Here is a 19,801-nt window from a genome sequence, read left to right as displayed (position 1 = left end):
GAAGTCAGGAGTTCTAGACCAGCCTGGCCAACATAGTGAAACCCTGTCTCTACTAAAATACAAATAATTAGCTGGGGATGGTGGTGGGTGCCTGTAATCCCCAGCTACTAGGGAGGCTGAGGCAGGAGAACTGCTTGAACCCGGGAAGCGAAGGTTGCAGTGAGCCGAGATTGTGCCACTGCACTCCAACCTGGGCCACAGAGTGAGACTCCGTCTAAAATAAATAAAAAAACAAAGTGAAGAGACAACCCACAGAATGGGAGAAAATTTTTGCAAACTATTCATCCATCAAAGGATTAATACCCAGAACATATAAGAACTCAAAAACAAAAATCCCAAATAATCCCATTAAAAAATGGACAACAGCCACGGCGGGCCGGGCCAGCAGGTCCACGCCTCGTCTGGGGCCCAGGCCCGCTGCCCCCAAGCGCGGCGCCCAGCCCGGACCGCATGGACTCGGCCTCGCCCGGTGCCGCCCGCGGCTTGGACCCGCAGGACTCTCCGCGCTCGCGCTTCTGGTCCAACTTGTGTCCCTCACCAACTGCCCTGCGGGGCCCAGGCTGGCCCGGGGCGGGGCGTCATCCAGACCAAAGCCCTGTCATTACGCTGCCCCGGCCGCCAGCCCCTCAAGAAGCTATAGATGAGACGTAGGTAGCCGTAGTCGGACTGACTACACTGGCCGGGGAGCAGTCCCCTCCGAGCCCCCGGCCGTCCCCCCTCATCGCCCTGCGCCCACCATCGCCCCTGCCCCTGGCGGCGGCCTCGCGTGCGAGAGGGCTTCCTTCACCTCGGTGCCTCAGTTTCCCCAGCTGTAAGATAGGGACAGGGCGACCCAGTGGCGGAGAGGAGCCGGCTGTGGAGCCCTGCCCGCCCCCTGCCCTCTAGGTAGCCCGCCGTCTGATGAGGATTGTTATTCTAAGTGCAATACTTGGCCCTCCGGCTTCCCGCTGCTCCCACCGTGCTCACGCAATAACCTGCCCAGCCGCCGTCCACGCGCGTCCCGCGGTGACCTCCTGGAGCAGTGCCCCAGCTCCCTCCAGCACCTGCGCCGAGGGGCGGGCCGTCCTGGCTGCGCAGGGCGCGTGGGCGAGGCTGCAAAGGCTGGAGTCCCGCCGCTGTGATTAATGTACTGACGAACCGAGGCAGCAGTGCCCCCATCACGACCCCCACGCCCCACTAACCCCCACGCCCCCACTCCGCGCAATAAACGACAGCATTGGCAAAAAAAAAAAAAAAAAAAAAAAAGGCAAAAGATCTCAATGGCTATTTTCCAACAGAAGACATACAAGTGGCCAACAGGTATATGCAAACTTAACATCACTAATCATCACGGAAGTGCACATCAAAACCCAGTAAAATTTCATCTAACCTCAACTAAAATGGCGACTATCAAAAAGTCAGAAAACAACAAATGCTGACAAGGACGCAGAGAAACAGGAGCACTCAAACACTCTTGGTGGGAATGTTTTTTGTTTGTTTGTTTTGAGACAGAGTCTCTCTCTCTGTCGCCCAGGCTGGAGTAGTGCGATGGCGCGGATCTCGGCTCACTGCAACCTCCGCCTCCCGGGTTCCAGCATTCTCCTGCCTCAGCCTCCCGAGTAGCTGGGACTACAGGCGTTTGCCACCATGCCCAGCTATTTTTTGTGTTTTTAGTAGAGATGGGGTTTCACCATTTTGGCCAGGATGCTTTTGATATCTTGACCTCGTTATTCTCCCGCCTCAGCCTCCCAAAGAGCTGGGATTACCAGCGTGAGCCACCACGCCTGGCCGGTGGGAATGTAAAATAGCTTATCCACTATGGAAAACTGCATGGAGGGTCCTCAATAAGCTAAAAATAGAACTACCGTATAATTCGGCAATCACACTGCTGGGTATAAGTCCACAAGAAAGAAACTCAGTATCTCAAAGACACATCTGCACTCCTATGTTTATTGCAGCACTATTCAAAACAGCCAAAATACAAAATCAACCTAAGTATCCATCAACAGATGAATGGACAAAGAAAATGTGGTACATATACACAAAAAGAAAGGATTTGTGAATATACTAAAAGCCATTGAATTGTATGCCTTAAATGGGGAAGTTGTATGCTACGTGAATTCTATTTCAATAAAGTTGTTTTTAAAAAACGTAAGGGGTCAGACACAATGGCTCATGCCTGTAATCACAGCACTTTGAGAGGCCTAGGCGGGTGGATTACGAGGTCAGGAGTTCAAGACCAGCCTGGCCAAGATGATGAAACCCCGTCTCTACTAAAAATGCAAAAATTAGCCAGCGTAGTGGCGGACGCCTGTAATTCCAGCTACTCGGGAGGCCAAGACAGAGAATTGCTTGAACCCAGGAGGCGAAGGTTTCAGTGAGCTGAGATTGTGCCACTACAATCCAGCCTGGGTGACAGAGCAAAACTCAAAAAAATAAATAAATAAAATAAGGAGCCGGGCACCATGGCTCATGCCTATAATCCCAGCAATTTGGGAAGCTGAAGTAGGTGGATCTTCTGAGGTCCGGAGTTTGAGACCAGCCTGAGCAACAGGGTGAAAGCCTGTCTCTACTAAAAAGACAAAAAATAAGTCAGGCATGGTGGTGCACACCTGTAATCCCAGCTACTCGTGAGGCTGAGGCAGGAGAAGCACTTGAACCTGGGAGGCGGAGGTTGCAGTGAGCTGAGATCGCACCATTGCACTTCAGCCTGGGCAACAAGAACGATCACTTTGGGACTGTGATTTTTGAGATTTTAGATGTGAGGGATTTTGATCTTTCAGGATTTAACCTATTTTACAGTTGAGCAGACTGAGCCACAGAGAGGGGATGTGAACTGCCCAAGGTCTCACAGGTGGTAAGTGTTTGTAGCTGGAACCTGAACTAAGGAAGGAGACCACTACTACTCCGGCTGCCCTCCTCCCACCATCTTGCCTAGTTCACAAGACAGGAGGAAAGAGAGAAAGCAAAAATTTAGAAACAAAAGTAAGATAAGTAGCCAGACACCTTGGCACCACCACCTGCCACAGGAGTTAAAAATAATAATAATAATGACATCAACCCCTGACCTAAACTACTTGTGTTATCTGTAAATTCCAGACCTTGTATGAAAAAGCATTGCAAAGCTTTCTGTTCTGTTAGCTGATGCATGTAGCCCGCACTCACCTTCCCCATGCTTGCTCGATTTATCACGACACTTTCACGTGGACCCTTTAAAGTTGTAAGCCTTTAAAAAGGCCAAGAATTTCTTTTTCGGGGAGCTCGGGTCTTAAGACACAAATCTGCTGACGCTCCTGGCCAAATAAACCTTTTCCTTCTTTAATCCGGTGTCTTGAGGAGATTTGTCTGCGGCTCGTCCTGCTACAGAACCAGGGTCTACCTTGGCAAGGGATTCCACACTGAGTCTCCTCCTGAGAAGCCTGCTCTCTGGGGTTTTGAGGAAATTCATGGTCAGTAAACTGTGTCTCAGGAAATTGTTCCTCTCATGCCATTAGTACCTCTAATGCATCAGTCAGCATAAACAAGATTATGATGCAGTAACAGGCAACCTCCATTCTCTCTCCCTTTGTTTTGCTTTGTTTCATTTTATGGAGATAAGAATCTCGCTCTGTTGCCCAGGCAGGAGGGCAGTGGCGTGACCTTGGCTCACTACAACCTCCACCTCCTGGTTCAAGCAATTTTCCTGCCTCAGCCTCCTGAGTAGCTGGGATTACAGGCATGCCCCACCACACCTGGCTAATTTTTGTATTTTTAGTAGAGACGGGGTTTCACTGTGTTAGCCAGGCTGGTCTTGAACTCCTGGCCTGAAGTGATCCACCAGCCTTGGGCTCCCAAAGTGCTGGAATTACAGGCATGAGTCATCCTGCCTGGTGCACCCCCCATTCTCCATAGAGAAATAGACAAAGTCGATTTCTCTCCCATAGGACACATCCACAGCAGCCTTGGATTAGTCTGCATTGGAAACATCCAGAGTCCTGTGGCACAAAAAAAAGAGAAATGCCTGGCCACTTACTGACTCTGAAAGTTTCTGCTAAAAAATGACAGGGGTTCAGGCCGGGCGTGGTGGCTCACGCCTGTAATCCCAGCACTTTGGGAGGCCGAGGCGGGCGGATCACAAGGTCAGGAGATCAAGATCATCCTGGCTAACACAGTGAAACCCCGTCTCTACTGAAAACACAAAAATTAGCCAGGCGTTGTGGCGGGCGCCTGTAGTCCCAGCTACTCAGGAGGCTGAGGCAGGAGAATGGTGAGAATCCAGGAGGCGGAGCTTGCAGTGAGCCAAGATTGCGCCACTGCACTCCAGCCTGGGCTACAGAGTGAGTCTCAAAAAGAAAAAACAAAAAGTGACACAGGGTTCCTCCCAGCCACATTTCACTGATCAAAGTGGGACACCAGCAAACATTGTAAATGCCAATACAAGCCAGACAGCTGGAAGCTTTTGTTTCCTTTTGCTTTCCTTCTTTTTCCTACCAAGATTCACGCTCTTTCTTCCTTCTTTCAACAACCCGTGGTTTCACTTTCTTTACTATAAGAAAATGCTGGCCGGGTGCAGTGGCTCACGCCTGTAATCCTAACACTTTGGGAGGCCGAGGTGAGTGGATCACTTGAGGTCAAGAGTTCAAGACCAGCCTGACCAACATGGTGGAACCCCATCTCTAGTTAAAAAAAAAAAAAAAATACAAAATTAGCCAGGTGTGGTGGGGTATGCCTGTAATCCTAGCTACTTGGGAGGCTGAGGCAGGAGAACTGCTTGAAGCCAGGAGGCGGAGGTTGCAGTGAGCTGAGATCACGCCATTGTACTCCAGCCTGGGCAACAAGAGCGAAACTGCATCTCAAAAAAAAGGGGGGCCGGGTGTGGTGGCTCATGCCTGTAATCCCAACACTTTGGGAGGCCAATGCAGGCAGATCATGAGGTCAAGAGATGGAGACCATCCTGGCCAACATGGTGAAACCGTGTCTCTACTAAAAGTACAAAAATTAAGCCGGGCACAGTGGCTCAAGCCTGTAACCCCAGCAGTTTGGGAGGCCAAGGTGGGTGGATCACGAGGTCAGGAGATCGAGACCATGGTGAAACCCCATCTGTACTAAAAATACAAAAAATTAGCCAGGCGTGGTGGCTCATGCCTGTAATCCCAGCTACTCGGGAGGCTGAGGCAGGAGAGTCGCTTGAACCCAGGAGGCAGAGGTTGCGGTGAGCCGAGATAGCACCATTGCACTCCAACCTGGGCAACAAGAATGAAACTCTGTCTAAAAACAAAAAATAAAAGGCTCCGCATTCCATGACTCATCATGGAAAAGATAAAATGATCCAAATTAAATATGTATTTCTATGCTGACTTATAAATTGCTAAAATAGTTCATAACCAATGTTTCGTTTGTCAAATCCATGTTCCTGGGAAGACAATCAAAGCTTCAGGTGCATTTGGCTACCTCATGGGCAATTTGAACATTTCAATTGTCAACTGTCATTTTCAATGCATGTTTTCTGGTTGCTTTCCCATGCAAGAGGGCTGATATTATAACAGTAGATCTATGGTATGGTGTATTTTCACCAGATACTGAAAGCTTTTTATGGCTCACTGACTGGGGACAATCAATTCCTTCACAATCTAGAACCTGAAGATTGGATCTTCTGAGAACATCAGAGAAAGAATGTCCTTGCCATCCACACTACAGCAGAACTTCAGGACCTTGAACTTTGGGTTCATAATCTCACAAGAGGGAAGTTTTTCACTGGAAGAAGATGGCATCCTTGATGTGAACAGCTTTTCCCAAGATCACAGATCAAGACTTCTGGTTTTTATTGTTTTTTTTTTTTTTTTTGAGACAGACTTTTTTTTTTTTTTGATATGGAGTCTCGGTCTTCTCGCTCCAGCTGGAGTGGAATAGCGCAATCTTGGATCACTGCAACCTTCACCTCCCAAATTCAAGCGATTCTTGTACCTCAGCCTCCTGAGCCGCTGAGACTACAGGCACATGCCACCATGCCTGGTTAATTTTGTGTGTGTGTGTGTGTGTGTGTGTCTGTGTGTGTGTGACAGGGTTTTACTCTTGTTGCCCAGGCTGGAGTGCAGTGGTGCGATCTTGGCTCACTGCAATTTCTGCCTCCTAGGTTCAAGTGATTCTCCTGCCTCAGCCTCCTGAGTAGTTGGGTTTATAGGCGCCCAACACCATACCCAGGGAATTTTTTGTATTTTTAGTAGAGACAGGGTTTCACCATGTTGGCCAGGCTGGTCTCAAACTCCTGACCTCAGGTGATCCACCCGCCTCAGTGTCCCAAAGTGCTGGGATTACAGGCGTGAGCCCTGTGCCCAGCCTCCGTTCCCCCCCACCCTTCTCTCGACTGAGAGAGACTGACTGGGGACAATCAACTCTCTCTAGACTGACAGAGAGAGAGAGAGAGGGAGGAAGAGAAAGAGACGGAGTCTGGCTCTCACCCAGGCTGGAGTGCAGTGGAGTGATCTTGGTTCACTGCAACCTCCACCTTCCGTGTTCAAGCGATTCCTGTGCCTCAGCCTCCCAAGTAGCTGGGATTGTAGGTCCGCACCACCACGCCCTGCTAATTTTTGTGTTTTTAGTAGAGACGGCTTCGCCATGTTGGCCAGGCTGGTTTTGAACTCCTGACCTCAGGTGATCCGCCAGCCTCGGCCTTCCAAAGTGCTGGGATTACAGGCGTGAGCCACCTCGCACCCGGCCAAATGAAATAAAATGCTAAAGTAAATTCAGGACTACCCCTCCTCCAAGTCTTCTGTCCCCTTTGGGCGCCCAGGTGAGCGGGGGAGGGGCTGGGGGAATAATAACATCAAAAGAGCGCCTTTTCCTCCCTTATTCCGAGGAGACTTTCCTGGGCCTGACTCCCGGTCCTGTCCCCAGCGCCCCGCGGCCTCTCGAGCCCCTTCAGTGACCAAGATGCAGAGATCAGGATGCCTTTGCGCCACCCCAGGTGCCCACCCCTAGCTGGTTCCGCCTGGGCCCCGAGGGAAGGTGAGGTCGAGGGCCGGGCCGAGGCGTGGCATCCAGGGTGTGTGTCCGCTGGGCTTGCTGCCTCCGGCGGCCCGGCAGCACCGCCCCACCTCTGCCACCCTCCGATGGGGCCGCTACCTGTGCGCCTGCCAATCAAGCTGCTCCTGCGGCTCCCGTAGCTGCTGCTGCTGCTGCTGCTGCTTGAACCTGGCCCCAGGTCCGGCGAGGGTAAGTGAGGAAGGGGCTTTCCCGGAACTCAGGCGTTCCGGGATTCCTCCAGCCCTTCCTAGGGACCCAGCAGCCCTGCCTCCCATCCCTCTTCAAGTTCCTAGTTGCCCTAGAGCCCCCAGCTCGCTCTTCTAATGCTCACCCACACTCTGGGTCCCAGCCCTCTGCAGGGCCCCCAACTCACTCCTCCCAGGGACCCAGAACTAGCCCAGCCCTTCCCCGGGGCCACAGAGTCCTCTCCTGGCTCCCTCCCCTAACCGGCTGTGACCCTCTCCAGCAGCCCGGAAGCTTCCCGCTTGTCCTGATCTGGGGTCCGCGAACTTATCCTTCATTCCACCTATCCCTGAGATGTGAGACACCAGAGGGTGGGAGGAGCAGGGGCAGAAAGGGCCCGGCTTGGGGGTGGGAGAAGAATATATTGTGCCCCTGTACAACAAACCCCTGTGACCAAAAAAAAAATATAGATCATACTGTCCCTATCTCACTATCCATCATTTGGGGTCACTGTAGAGAGGTCTCCTGGGTGACTGCCCATTTCTGGGGTGCACAGATACATGTAGCCACAGAATACTATGCAGACACCGCCAGCACACAGATGCGCAGGCACAGGACCAGCCCCAGACTCACCTGGCCCTCAGGTGTGCAGCTCACGGTGTGCAGCTCCCACAGGCAAAAATACTGAGATACCGCTAGGGGGACACATGCACACACAGCTCAAGGATACCCGAGACAGCACTCAGGACAATTCAGATGCGCCGTGTATATACACACACACACACACACACACACACACACACACAGAGCAGCACAGACACACATATGTGCACATAGACCCTGGGGCTCACAGGATGCACAGACAACCCTGGCCCTCCCCGAGGAGGCTGCAGCGGGCAGACAGGGCAAACAGACCCCAGAGTGACCTGCCCCACCTATGTTGGCACAGAGGGAGTGTTTTGCTTGGTTATAAGCAGTGCTCATGCCTGCCCCATACCTAGAACCCTCCCTCTATAGGGCTGTTGCTAGGGCTCTGAGATACCAGAGTGTGGTCAGGGAGTGTGGCAGGGGAAACTTTGGGGACAGCTTCAGGGTACTGTGTTGGGACTGGGACATTGTCAGGGTGCTCAGAGTGGGCGTGTTCCCTGGGTCTTGGTGGATTTAGAGGTCGAGGGACCATTTCTGGAAGCTCACTGTGTGCCAGGGGAGCTTATATCAGAGATCTTTTTTTTTTTTTTAAGACAGTCTCACTGTTGCCCAGGCTGGAGTGCAGTGGCACCATTTCAGCTCACTGCAACCTCCACCTCCCGGGTCCAAGAGATTCTCCTGCCTCAGCCTCCTGAGTAGCTGGGACTACAGGCGTGCACCACCACACCTGGCTAATTTTTGTATTTTTAGTAGAGACGGGGTTTCACCATGTTAGCAAGGCTGGTCTCGAACTCCTGACCTCAGGTGATCCACCTGCCTTGGCCTCTGAAAGTGCTGAGATTACAGGCATGAGCCACTGCACTAGGCCAGAGATCTGCTCTGGAAGACCCCCCAGGCCGGAGGGCACTGCCACAAGCAGACAGTATGGCGAGGGTCCCTATGGCCACCTGGCAGGCAGGGTGGATTCTGGAGGGAGGTGGCCTGGGAGCAGGCTGAGGATGGGGTGAGGGCACTTGAGCAGCAGAGTGTCTGCGTGACCAGGCATAACTGGAGGAACAGTAAACAACTCTTGTGTGAGAGGATGAGGGAGGGGTGAGAGGGGTTGACTACCCCCAGGACTTGGGGTGCGTTGAGACTCCTTAGCTTTATCCAGACTCTTGGGAGCTATGGAGGTTTGAGGCAGAGGTGTGGGCTGCTGGGAGAGTGAGGACTCACCATCCAGAGAGGAAGGCGAAGCTTTCAACTCTAAATGCCGTTTTATTTTCGTGTTTTTTTTTTTTTTTTTTTGAGATGGAGTTTCACTCTCGTTGCCCAGGCTGGAGTGCAATAGCACGATCTCAGCTCACTGCAACCTCTGCCTCCTGGGTTCAAGCGATTCTCCTGCTGCACCCTCCCAAGTAGCTGGGATTATAGGTGCGTGCCACCATGCCTTGCTGATTTTGTATATTTATTAGAAACAGGCTCTCCCTCTCCCTCTCCCTCCCCACAGTCTCCCTCTCCCCCTCTTTCCACGGTCTCCCTCTGATGCCGAGCCGAAGCTGGACTGTACTGCTGCCATCTTGGCTCACTGCAACCTCCCTGCCTCATTCTCCTGCCTCAGCCTGCCGAGTGCCTGTGATTGCAGGCGCGCGCCGCCACGCCTGACTGGTTTTCGTATTTTTTTGGTGGAGACGGGGTTTCGCTGTGTTGGCCGGGCCGGTCTCCAGCTCCTAACCGCTAGTGATCCACCAGCCTCGGCCTCCCGAGGTGCTGGGATTGCAGACGGAGTCTCGTTCACTCAGTGCTCAATGGTGCCCAGGCTGGAGTGCAGTGCCGTGATCTCGGCTCGCTACAACCTCCACCTCCCAACCGCCTGCCTTGGCCTCCCAAAGTGCCGAGATTGCAGCCTCTGCCCGGCCGCCACCCCGTCTGGGAAGTGAGGAGCGTCTCTGCCTGGCCGCCCATCGTCTGGGATGTGAGGAGCGTCTCTGCCAGGCCGCCCATCGTCTGAGATGTGGGGAGTGCCTCTGCCCGGCCGCGACCCCGTCTGGGAGGTGAGGAGCGTCTCTGCCCGGCCGCCCCGTCTGAGAAGTGAGGAGACCCTCTGCCTGGCGACCGCCCCGTCTGAGAAGTGAGGAGCCCCTCCGCCCGGCAGCCACCCTGTCCGGGAGGGAGGTGGGGGTAAGCCCCCTCCAGGCCAGCCGCCCCGTCCGGGAGGGAGGTGGGGGGGTCAGCCCCCCCGCCCGGCCAGCCGCCCCGTCCGGGAGGGAGGTGGGGGGCAGCCCTCACGCAGCCGCCACCCCGTCCGGGAGGTGGGCACCTCTGCCCGGCCGCCCCATCTGGGAGGTGAGGAGCCCCTCTGCCCGGCCGCCACCCCGTCTGGGAGGTGTACCCAACAGCTCATTGAGAATGGGCCATGATGACGATGGCGGTTTTGTCAAATAGAAAAGGGAGAAATGTGGGGAAAAGAGAGAGAGATCAGATTGTTACTGTGCGTGTGTAGAAAGAAGTAGACATAGGAGACTCCATTTTGTTCTGTACTAAGAAAAATTCTTCTGCCTTGGGATGCTGTTAATCTATAACCTTACCCCCAACCCCGTGCTCTCTGAAACATATGCTGTGTCCACTCAGGGTTAAATGGATTAAGGGCGGTGCAAGATGTGCTTTGTTAAACAGATGCTTGAAGGCAGCATGCTCGTTAAGAGTCATCACCACTCCCTAATCTCAAGTACCCAGGGATACAAAAGCTGCGGAAGGCCGCAGGGCCCTCTGCCTAGGAAAACCAGAGACCCTTGTTCACGTTTATCTGCTGACCTTCCCTCCACTATTGTCCTATGACCCTGCCAAATCCCCCTCTCCGATAAACACCCAAGAATGATCAATAAATACTAAAAAAAAAAAAAAAAAAAAAAAAATTTTTGTGCCCTGCTACTGGCCTCAAGTGATCGTCCTGCCTCGGCCTCCCACAGTGCTCGGATTTCAGGTGTGAGCCACTGCGCCCAGCCCCAGCTGTGAATTTGTTTATAAAAACCCAGAGCATTGAAAGTTTTAAGAGACGGCCCGGGTAAGTCTTCAGTGCATCTCCTGCACATGCTCCACACCTGCGTTACACTAATCATGCCACTATCTCACTTCTCCAACCCTTTGAGCTTGCACTTTTTCCCTCTGCCTACATCAGTGCTTCTCAAATGTGGTAAAGGATCATTTAAAAAAAATTTCCAATCTAGACCAGGCATGGTGATGCATACCTGTAGTCCCAGTTACTTAGAAGGCTGAGGTGGGAGGATTGCTTGAGTCCAGGAGTTCAAGACCAGCCTGGGCAACACAGCAAGATCCCATGTCTTAAAAAAAAAAAACAATCTACTGTGGACCCATACTTATGTAAAACACAATAAGGCTGGGCGCGGTGGCTCACGCCTGTAATCCCAGCACTTTGGGAGGTGGAGGCGGGTGGATCACGAGGTCAGGAGATGGAGACCATCCTGGCTAACATGGCAAAACCCCGTCTCTACTAAAAAAAAAAAAAAAATACAAAAATTTAGCCAGGCGTGGTGTTGGGCGCCTGTAGTCCCAGCTACTTGGGAGGCTGAGGCAGGAGAACGGTGTGAACCCGGGAGGCGGAGCTTGCAGTGAGCTGAGCTCGCGCCACTGCACTCCAGCCTGGGCGACAGAGTGAGACTCTGTCTCAAAAACAAACAAACAAAAAACAAGCAAACAAAAAACACAATAAACTTAAATGATCAGAAAATAACCACATGCTTAGATATCAGAGCAAAGGCCCAGTCTCTCAATGCACCCTCTTACTGATGGCACCTGTCTTGTTATGAACAGGTAACAGTGCATCCACGCTGGTCTGGACCAGCTCTCCCTTCTCCCTGCCTGGTGAACCCTCAGGGTCCAACTGTCACTACTGTCTCCACTATGTCTTCCTGATGTTCCACCCCCGGTCACATCCTCAATACATCTGTGACTTTCTTTTTAAAACGGCGTCTCGCTTTGTTGCCCAGGCTGGAGAGCAGTGGTGTGATCTTGGCTCACTGCAACCTCCACCTCATGGGTTCAAGCGATTCTCCTGCCTCAGCCTCCCAAGCGGCTGCGACTACAGGCATGTGCCCCCATGCCCGGCTAATTTTTGTATTTTTAGTAGAGAGGGGGTTTCACTATGTTGGCCAGGCTGGTCTGAAACTCCCAACCTTGTGATCTGCCCACCTGGGCCTCCTAAAGTGCTGGGATTACAGGCGTGAGCCACTGCGACTGGCCTTTTAAAACACCCATTATAACTTATGTTACTATAATTTTCTGTTAAATGTCAAAAAGCAGCAGGCTCTTTGAGGTCAGGAACGTGTTCAATTCACCTCTTCATCTGAGCCTTGTGTCTGTCATGTGGTAGCAGCTCAGAAATATAATCAGCAAATGAATGGGCTCAACACACCTTTGTGGCAACAAGCAATCAACCAGAACAACTTTAAACAGACCTTTAGTGACTGAGGTGTGGTTTAGGACTTCAAGGTTGGATGGCCCAGGCGGGAAACAGAGTGGAGAGCTCAGTAGGCCGTCTGAGACTGCTGCTGGCGGTAGCCACCGCGGCGCATGTAGCCCTCGTTTTTGCGGTAGCCGTCCTTCTGGTCTGTAGGAGAGAGATGGGAAGGAAGGGCAGGGAATGCCAGGTGAGAGGCGGTGAGGGCACCAGGAGTGGGCAAGGAGAGGAGCCGAAGTACTCACCTCGGAAGTAGCCCCCGTAGGTGCCCTGCTTGTGGTCAAACACCCGTTCGTTGTTCTCCACCAGGCTGCCCAGCTTCTCGGCCAGCTGCAGAGCCAGGTTCTGCTGGGCAGTGGGCTCAGTGCGGTGCATCACCACTGTCTGTGTTGGCTGGTCCAGGGAGGCCTGACAGGCGCCAAGGCAGAGGAGGGGACACGACACAGATCAGGCCCCTCTGCTCCAATCCCTCCATGGCTCCACCTGCCCGCTTCCCACCCCGGCCCCTACGCTCCAATCCCTCCATGGCTCCACCTGCCCGCTTCCCACCCCGGCCCCTACCATCAGCTCCTCATTAATGATCATTTTGCTGATGATGGAGTGCACAGTGGGCAGATCCAGCTCAAACATGTCTGACAGCGTCTCCATGCTGGGAAGAAAGAAGGCAGAGGGCAGGGGCAGTCAGGACACTTGCCCACAAGGCTGGGGCCCTTCTGTGTCCCCAGGGCCCCGCCTACCTGATGGAGTCATAGACACTGCTGTAGGTGAAGAGGTAGGTCCTCAGTGACTCTTCCTGGATCTTCCTGTGGGAAGAGGGGACAGAAGACACAACAGGGCCTCAGGGAAGGGGACCAACCAGTCTCTTCTTCCCCGACCCATCACGGCCTCTCTGTCTGCTCACCTAACCAGCATGGTGCGGACTTTGTCAGCCTCGGGGAAAAGGTCCCACACTTTCCCATTCATCTTCTCATTGATGATAAAACTGTGACAGGTCTTCCAGTCACCCATCTTCATGGCCTTGGAGGCAGCGACCACATGTTCCCGCATGGACTCAGGGGGACCTGAAAGGGTGGGAATGAGGCAGGGCCTAGGGAACTTGGGACAAGTTCCATTAGCACTCTTTAAGGAGGAACAGAGGCTGGAGGAGCAAACCATACTAGAGACTCTCCCCGCCTCTCCACCAAACAGCCACGTAGTCGCCCAAGCCACTCCATCTGCACAAATGTTTGAACTCAATCAGTCCATAGATGCACTTCAGGGGACTGCCGAAACCCTCAAAAATGTTGACAAATTGTGCACATGTCCTCATGTACATTCTTCCTAGGAAAAAGGCCCATGGCTTTCATCAGATTCTCGTAAGCTTCCTTGACCTAAAAACACCTCTTCCAGCCAGGCGTGGTGGCTCACACCTGTAATAATCCCAGCACTTTGGGAGGCCAAGGCAGACGGATCATCTGAGGTCAGGAGTTGGAGACCAGCCTGGCCAGCATGGCAAAACCTCGTCTCTACTAAAAATACAAAAATTAGCCAGGCATAGTGGCACACGCCTGTAATCCCAACTACTCGGGAGGCTGAGGCAGGAAAATTGCTTGAACCCGGGAGGCAGAATTTGCAGTGAGCTGAGATCTTGCCACTGCACTCCAGCCTGGGCTACAGAGCGAGACTCTGTCTCAAAAAACAAAACAAAACAAAACAAAACCACCTCTTCCAGCTCAACTGGAATGGAATTTACCAACCCTTCCTCACTCACATCACCTTCATGAATGGTGCCATGCCCATGCATCAATTACACTGTTGCCAGCTTATTATTCTTCCAAGCAGCTCACTTCTTTTCCTTAAAAAACTTAGCCCCGGTCAAAATTATCTCTAAAATCACAAGTTTATATATTAATTATGAACTCAGGCCCCCAAATACAATCCTAAGACAAGCCAGGAAGGTAAGACATGGTACGCCATAGTAACTGGAATTCAGGGTAGACAAAGTGCAAAAGTTCTACGGCTAGAAATGGGTGGCAGACAGTGAAACACAAACACGCAGACTCCACAGCAAGAACGGCAAGCTCAATGCGAACGGGGATCAGGTCCAAATGGAACCATAGGAGCAGGGCTAAGTGTTAAGAGTGTAAGGAGAGGCACACAGCCCTCCTGGATGAACCTCCATTTTAACCATATTAACACTTGCAAAAGGCAAGGTTGGTCTGGGCGCAGTGGCTCACACCTGTAATCCCAGCACTTTGGGAAGCCGAGGTGGGCGGGCCACCTGAGGTCAGGAATTCGAGACCAGCCTGGCCAACATGAAGAAACCCCATCTCTACTAAAAATACAAAAAATTAGCTGGACATGGTGGCGGGGGCCTGTAGTCTCAGCTACTCGAGAGGCTGAGGCAGCAGAATCACTTGAACCCAGGAGGTGGAGGTTGCAGTGAGCTGAGACTGCGCCACTGCACTCCAGTCTGGGCAACAGTGAGGCTCCGTCTCAAAAAAAAAAAAAAAAGAAAGAAAGAAAGAAAAAGGCAAGTTTAGGGGCTCAAAGAATATTTCTCTATAGGCCGAACAACAGTGCAGGGCTGATGGAAACTGGCTTTTGGAACCACTGTAGGGAGAAATTGAGAGGCAGGGACTGTGGAGAAGCAGACAGCCCTTTCCCATCGCTGCTACTTCAGCTCCAGCCAAGGCTAGCTCTGCAGGAAGGCAGGGCCAGGAGCGACAGACTGCCAATATTCTAAGACATGAAAATTCCGATTTTCATGGGAAATTTCCCCACAAAGTAAATCTCACTACATAAGCCAAACAAAATGTGCCTAAGGGAACTTGCCCTTTAGCCCAAACATATACATGACCAGGAGAGGACAAATCTGTAGGGGGATGTGGCTGTGGACACTGGGCTCAGCTCACTCGTCAAGCCCTCCTGTGGGCCAATGTCACAGGAAGGGCGCAGCTCAATTCCTTTCCAGTGAGTCACCACTCACTGCAACCCTGCAGGATCTGTCTTTCAAAAGGGGCCAAAGGAATCAACGTTAGCCTCTTGAACGATAAGGCTCTATGATAGTTGGTTTGGCTGGAATATAATGTACATGAAGGGAAGAAAAGGGAAAGAAAGATCAGAGGTACACATGAGCTGCATTAAACTCGGGCAAGTCACTTAACTACTCTGTGCCTCAGTTTCTCCACTGGGAAAAAGGGTATTACTAGTACCTACCGGCATAGGGTTATTACTAATGCAGATTAAATAATTATTTGTAAAACACTTAGCACAGTGCCAGGCAGAGGAGGTGTCATTAAATCAGATGGAGTCGAGTGGTGGGAGAGTTACTCCCTTCACTTCTCTTAATCCTTATGTGTAATCAGGGAGCAAGGCAGCCTGCTGAACCCTGGAGCTCCACACTCACCCAGCAGGGGCTGTCGCTCGCCCACGCGCAGCTGGTGGTGGAACTGCTTGCTGATCATGCGTCGGCGGGCATCGCTCTCATGGGCGGCCATGTAGGGGATCTCCAGGAGCATGGCAGACACCAGGTAGACACACTCCAGCAGCTCCAGGTTGATGTGCAGGTGGAAGGGGACCTGACGGCGCCGCTCCACCTTCTCCTGCTCCTGGTTGCGCTCCTGCAGGCTGCGCAGCAGCAGGCCCTGGCCCAGAAGCTCCTTGGCTCGGCCACTCGACTGGATGTCCAGCAGGGCGTTGTGTGCGTCCTTGGTCAGGCCTTGGCGGAAGGCACAGATGCCCAGCTGCACCATGGTGCGGTTGTAAAGGATCTGGGGGCAAAGGGTCATAATGCACTCAGAGATGACAGCTGCAAGACAAGTCTTCATTTATTCCATAACTAAGCCGGGTGCAGTGGCTCACGCCTGTAATCCCAGCACTTTGGGAGGCTAAGGTGGGAGGATCACTTGAGCCCAGGGGTTCAAGATGGGCCTGAGCAACATGGAGATACCCCATCGCTAAAGATAAAAAACAAAAACAAAACTAAACAAATCTACTTCAAGTGCCTACTATGTGCTGAGCACTAGGCTGGGGAGGGAGAGCAAAACAGACAAGTCCCCAGTCTGCATGGAGCTTATGTCTAGGGGTGGGGTGTGGTGGGCAAGAGAGCTGCACTACAAGGATGGTGACTCATGCTGAGAAGAAAAATAAAGCAGAGGACGGAGCCAGGAAGGCAGTCTGCGCAGTGGTGGAGGCTCAAATGTTCATATAACTACAGAAGGCCTCATTGGGAAAGAATGTTTGAATAAAGACCTAAAGAGAGAGCAAGTCATGCAGGCATCTGGGGAAAGAATATCCTATAAAAAGGAAAAATAAACGCAGTGATCCTGTGGAAGAACCGGGCCAGGCATATTCAAGAAACAAGGGGCGCAACACAGCTAGGGCTGGGAAAAGATGCCACCACAAGCTGGGGGATGGGCGAGCACCAGCCATTTATGAGTTTTTTTTTTTTTTTTTTTTTTGGAGACGGAGTCTCACTCTGTCACCCAGGCTGGAGTGCAGCGGTGTGATATTGGCTCATTGTAAGCTCCGCCTCCCGGGATCACGCCATTCTCCTGCCTCAGCCTCTCCGAGTAGCTGGGACTACAGGCGCCCGCCACCACGCCCGGCTAATTTTTTGTATTTTTAGTAGAGACAGGGTTTCGCCGTGTTAGCCAGGATGGTCTCGATCTCTTGACCTCGTGATCCACCCGCCTCGGCCTCCCGAAGTGCTGGGATTACAAGTGTGAGCCACCGTGCCTGGCCTTGTTATGAGTTTTAAGACAAGAAACCATGGGAAGGTTTTGAGCAAACAGGTAATATGATCTGACATAACTGAACAGGGTTAATCTGTATTATGAACAGAACAAAGGGACTGAAGGGACACAAAGGCAGATGATGGTGGCTTAGAGCAGAGGGTACAAGCAGAAGTGACAGAAGTGTTCTCATAATGGACTGTAAACAGGAATGGCTGGGGAATCAGATACAGTATATGAGGGAAAAGTTCAAATCAAGAATGACTCCAAGGTTTCTGGTCTAAGCAACTGGGAAGAGGGACTTGGCACTAATTAAGACAGGGGAGACGGTAAGTGGTACAAATCTTGGGGGAAAAGGCTAAGTGTAGTCATAACAACAAAAATGTGGAGATCAATACCAGTCATAAGCTTACATGCAAAAAGCCTTAAAAATGTTAGCGACAGAATCCAGCAATATATAATATAAAAGAGACAATATACATGACCAAACTGGATATACTTCAGGAATAAAAGGTTGGTATAAAAATGTAATGAACTCGGCTGGGCGTGGTGGCTCATGCCTGTAATCCCAGCACTTTGGGAGGCTGAGGTGGGTGGATCGTGGGGTCAGGAGTTCAAGAGCAGCCTGCCCAATATGGTGAAACCCCGTCTCTACTAAAAATACAAAAGTTAGCCGGGTAGTGGTGATGTGCACCTGTAATCCCAGCTACTCGAGAGGCTGAGGCAGGAGAATTGCTTGAGCCTGGGAGGCAGAGATTGCAGTGAGCCGAGATCGCGCCACTGCACTCCAGCTTGGGTGACAGAGTGACACCCTTTTTCAAAAAACAAAAAACACACAATAATGAACTCATAGTTATTCATTATATGAATAGAATGAAGGAGAAGTAACCGGGTATTTCTTTTCTTTTTGAGACAGTCTTGCTCTGTTGCCCAGGCTAGAGTGCAGTGGCGTGATCGTGGCTCCTGCAGCCTCGACCTCCTGAGCTCAAGCAATCCTCCTACCTCAGCCTCCTGAGTAGGTGGGACTACAGGCGTGCACCACTATGCCTGACTAGTTTCTGTATTTTTTGTAGAGACAGGGTTTTGTTATGTTGCACAGCAATGAAGATAGTATGGGACTTGCATAAGGACAGACAAAAAGGTAAATGAATGGGACAGAGGGAATGACCTGAAAAACACCTACTCTTATAGGTAATGTGGTTTTTCATATTGTTTTCCACAAAGACACCAAAGCAATACAATAGGGGAAAGGAAGTCTTTTCTACAAATGATGCTAGAACAACTAGGTATCCATATGGAGGAAAAAGAAACCCTGATCCCAACCTCAGCAGATGCAAAAATCAAACCAAGACCAACTATAAGACTAAATGTAAAAGCTAACACCCATAGCAACTTACAAAAAAAAAAAAGAGAGAAATTTAAAAAGTCTTCATGAATTTCAGTTAGGCAAAGGTTTTTTAGACAGGATCCAGAAAATAATTACTATAAAAGAAAAAACTGGGCCGGGCGCAGTGGCTCATGCCTGTAATCCCTGCACTTTGGGAGGGTGAGGCGGGCGGATCATGAGGTCAAGAGATCGAGACCATCCTGGCCAACACAGATACTAAAAAATAAAAAAAATTAGCTGGGCATGGTGGTGGGCGCCTGTAGTCCCAGCTACTCGGGAGGCTGAGGCAGGAGAATTGCCTGAACCTGGGAAGCAGAGGTTGTAGTGAGTCGTCAAGATCGCGCCACTGCACTCCAGCCTGCCGACAGAGCGAGACTCCGTCTCCAAAAAAAAAAAAAAAAAAAAAATTCTGACACAGGACTAGCTATCCAGGATAGATAAGGCACTCCTACAACTCAATAAAGTGAACAATCCAATTGTTTTAAATGGGCAAGAACTGACTAGATATTTATTATTTCATGAAAGATAAATGGCCAATAAACATAAAAAAGTAAAAAAGTAGCCAATATCAATAGTCACCAGGGAAATGCAAACTAACACCACAATGAGATACCATTAGACAACCAACTAAAATTTAAAAGACCTTTGAGTGGCCGGTTGCGGTGGCTCATGCCTGTAATCCCAGCACTTTGGGAGGCTGAGGTGGGTGGGTCACCTGAGGTTCAAGACCAGCCTGGCCAACATAGTGAAATCTTGTCTCTATTAAATATACAAAAATTAGCCTGGTGTGGTGGCACGTGCCTATAATCCCAGCTACATGGGATGGTGAGGGAGGAGAATGGCTTGAACCTGGGAGATGGAGGTTGTAGTGAGCCAAGATTGCACCACTGCACTCCAGCCTGGGCAACAGAGCGAGACTCTGTCTCAAAACACACACACACACACACACACACACACCCCTAAAAGATACACACACACACACCCCCTAAAAGATACACACACAACCCCTAAAAGATACACACACACCCCCTAAAAGAGACACACACACACCCCTAAAAGATCTTTGAGACCAGCCTGGGCAACATAGTGAGACCCTGTCTCTACAAAAAATAAAAAATTAGCCAGGCATGGTGGCACATGCCTGTAGTCCCAGCTATGGTGGCACATGCCTGTAGTCCCAGCTACTATGGAGGCTGAGGTGGGAGGATCACTTGAACCTGGGAATTTGAGGCTACTGCGGGCCATGATCATGCCACTACACTCAGTCTAGGTGACAGTGCAAGACCCTGCCTCAAAAAACAAAAACAAAAAAAAGTTTAAAAGACCAATACCACCGCCGGCATGATGGCTCACTCCTGTAATCTCAGCACTTTGGGAGGCTGAGGCAGGCAGATCACTTGAGGTCAGGAGTTTGAGACCAGCCTGGCCAAC

General features: G+C 51.3%; 1 protein-coding gene across 9 annotated transcripts in view, besides 3 other annotated features; it reads right to left on the bottom strand.

Moving 5' to 3' along the window:
* Positions 6,457–6,999: an enhancer, noted in NCBI's record as "H3K4me1 hESC enhancer chr16:28752171-28752713 (GRCh37/hg19 assembly coordinates)". NCBI's record gives its function as "activates a minimal SCP1, AML or CMV promoter by ChIP-STARR-seq in primed H9 embryonic stem cells {active_cell/tissue: H9 hESC(primed)}" and the evidence as "EXISTENCE:reporter gene assay evidence [ECO:0000049][PMID:30033119]".
* Positions 7,000–7,543: an enhancer, noted in NCBI's record as "H3K4me1 hESC enhancer chr16:28751627-28752170 (GRCh37/hg19 assembly coordinates)". NCBI's record gives its function as "activates a minimal SCP1, AML or CMV promoter by ChIP-STARR-seq in primed H9 embryonic stem cells {active_cell/tissue: H9 hESC(primed)}" and the evidence as "EXISTENCE:reporter gene assay evidence [ECO:0000049][PMID:30033119]".
* EIF3C (eukaryotic translation initiation factor 3 subunit C) overlaps positions 12,119–19,801 on the bottom strand; it is a 47,173-nt gene continuing 39,490 nt past the window's right edge. For 7 of the 9 annotated variants that reach the window (XM_047434828.1, XM_047434827.1, NM_001199142.1 and 4 more), the window contains 6 exons: positions 15,657–16,020; positions 13,170–13,329; positions 13,006–13,071; positions 12,830–12,917; positions 12,514–12,676; positions 12,119–12,418 (listed from right to left, as the gene is read on the bottom strand). In XM_047434828.1, coding sequence (XP_047290784.1) covers positions 12,336–12,418; positions 12,514–12,676; positions 12,830–12,917; positions 13,006–13,071; positions 13,170–13,329; positions 15,657–16,020 — 924 coding nt within the window. In that variant the 3' untranslated portion in view covers positions 12,119–12,335. The other 2 variants (NM_003752.5, XM_017023814.3) reach the window with 2 other exon arrangements.
* Positions 15,827–16,379: an enhancer, noted in NCBI's record as "H3K27ac-H3K4me1 hESC enhancer chr16:28742791-28743343 (GRCh37/hg19 assembly coordinates)". NCBI's record gives its function as "activates a minimal SCP1, AML or CMV promoter by ChIP-STARR-seq in primed H9 embryonic stem cells {active_cell/tissue: H9 hESC(primed)}" and the evidence as "EXISTENCE:reporter gene assay evidence [ECO:0000049][PMID:30033119]".

This window comes from Homo sapiens, chromosome 16, assembly GCF_000001405.40.
Source record: "Homo sapiens chromosome 16, GRCh38.p14 Primary Assembly".
NCBI lineage: Eukaryota > Metazoa > Chordata > Mammalia > Primates > Hominidae > Homo > Homo sapiens.
Note: the sequence above shows the minus strand (reverse complement) of the source record. Positions and strands in the feature narration are given on the sequence as shown.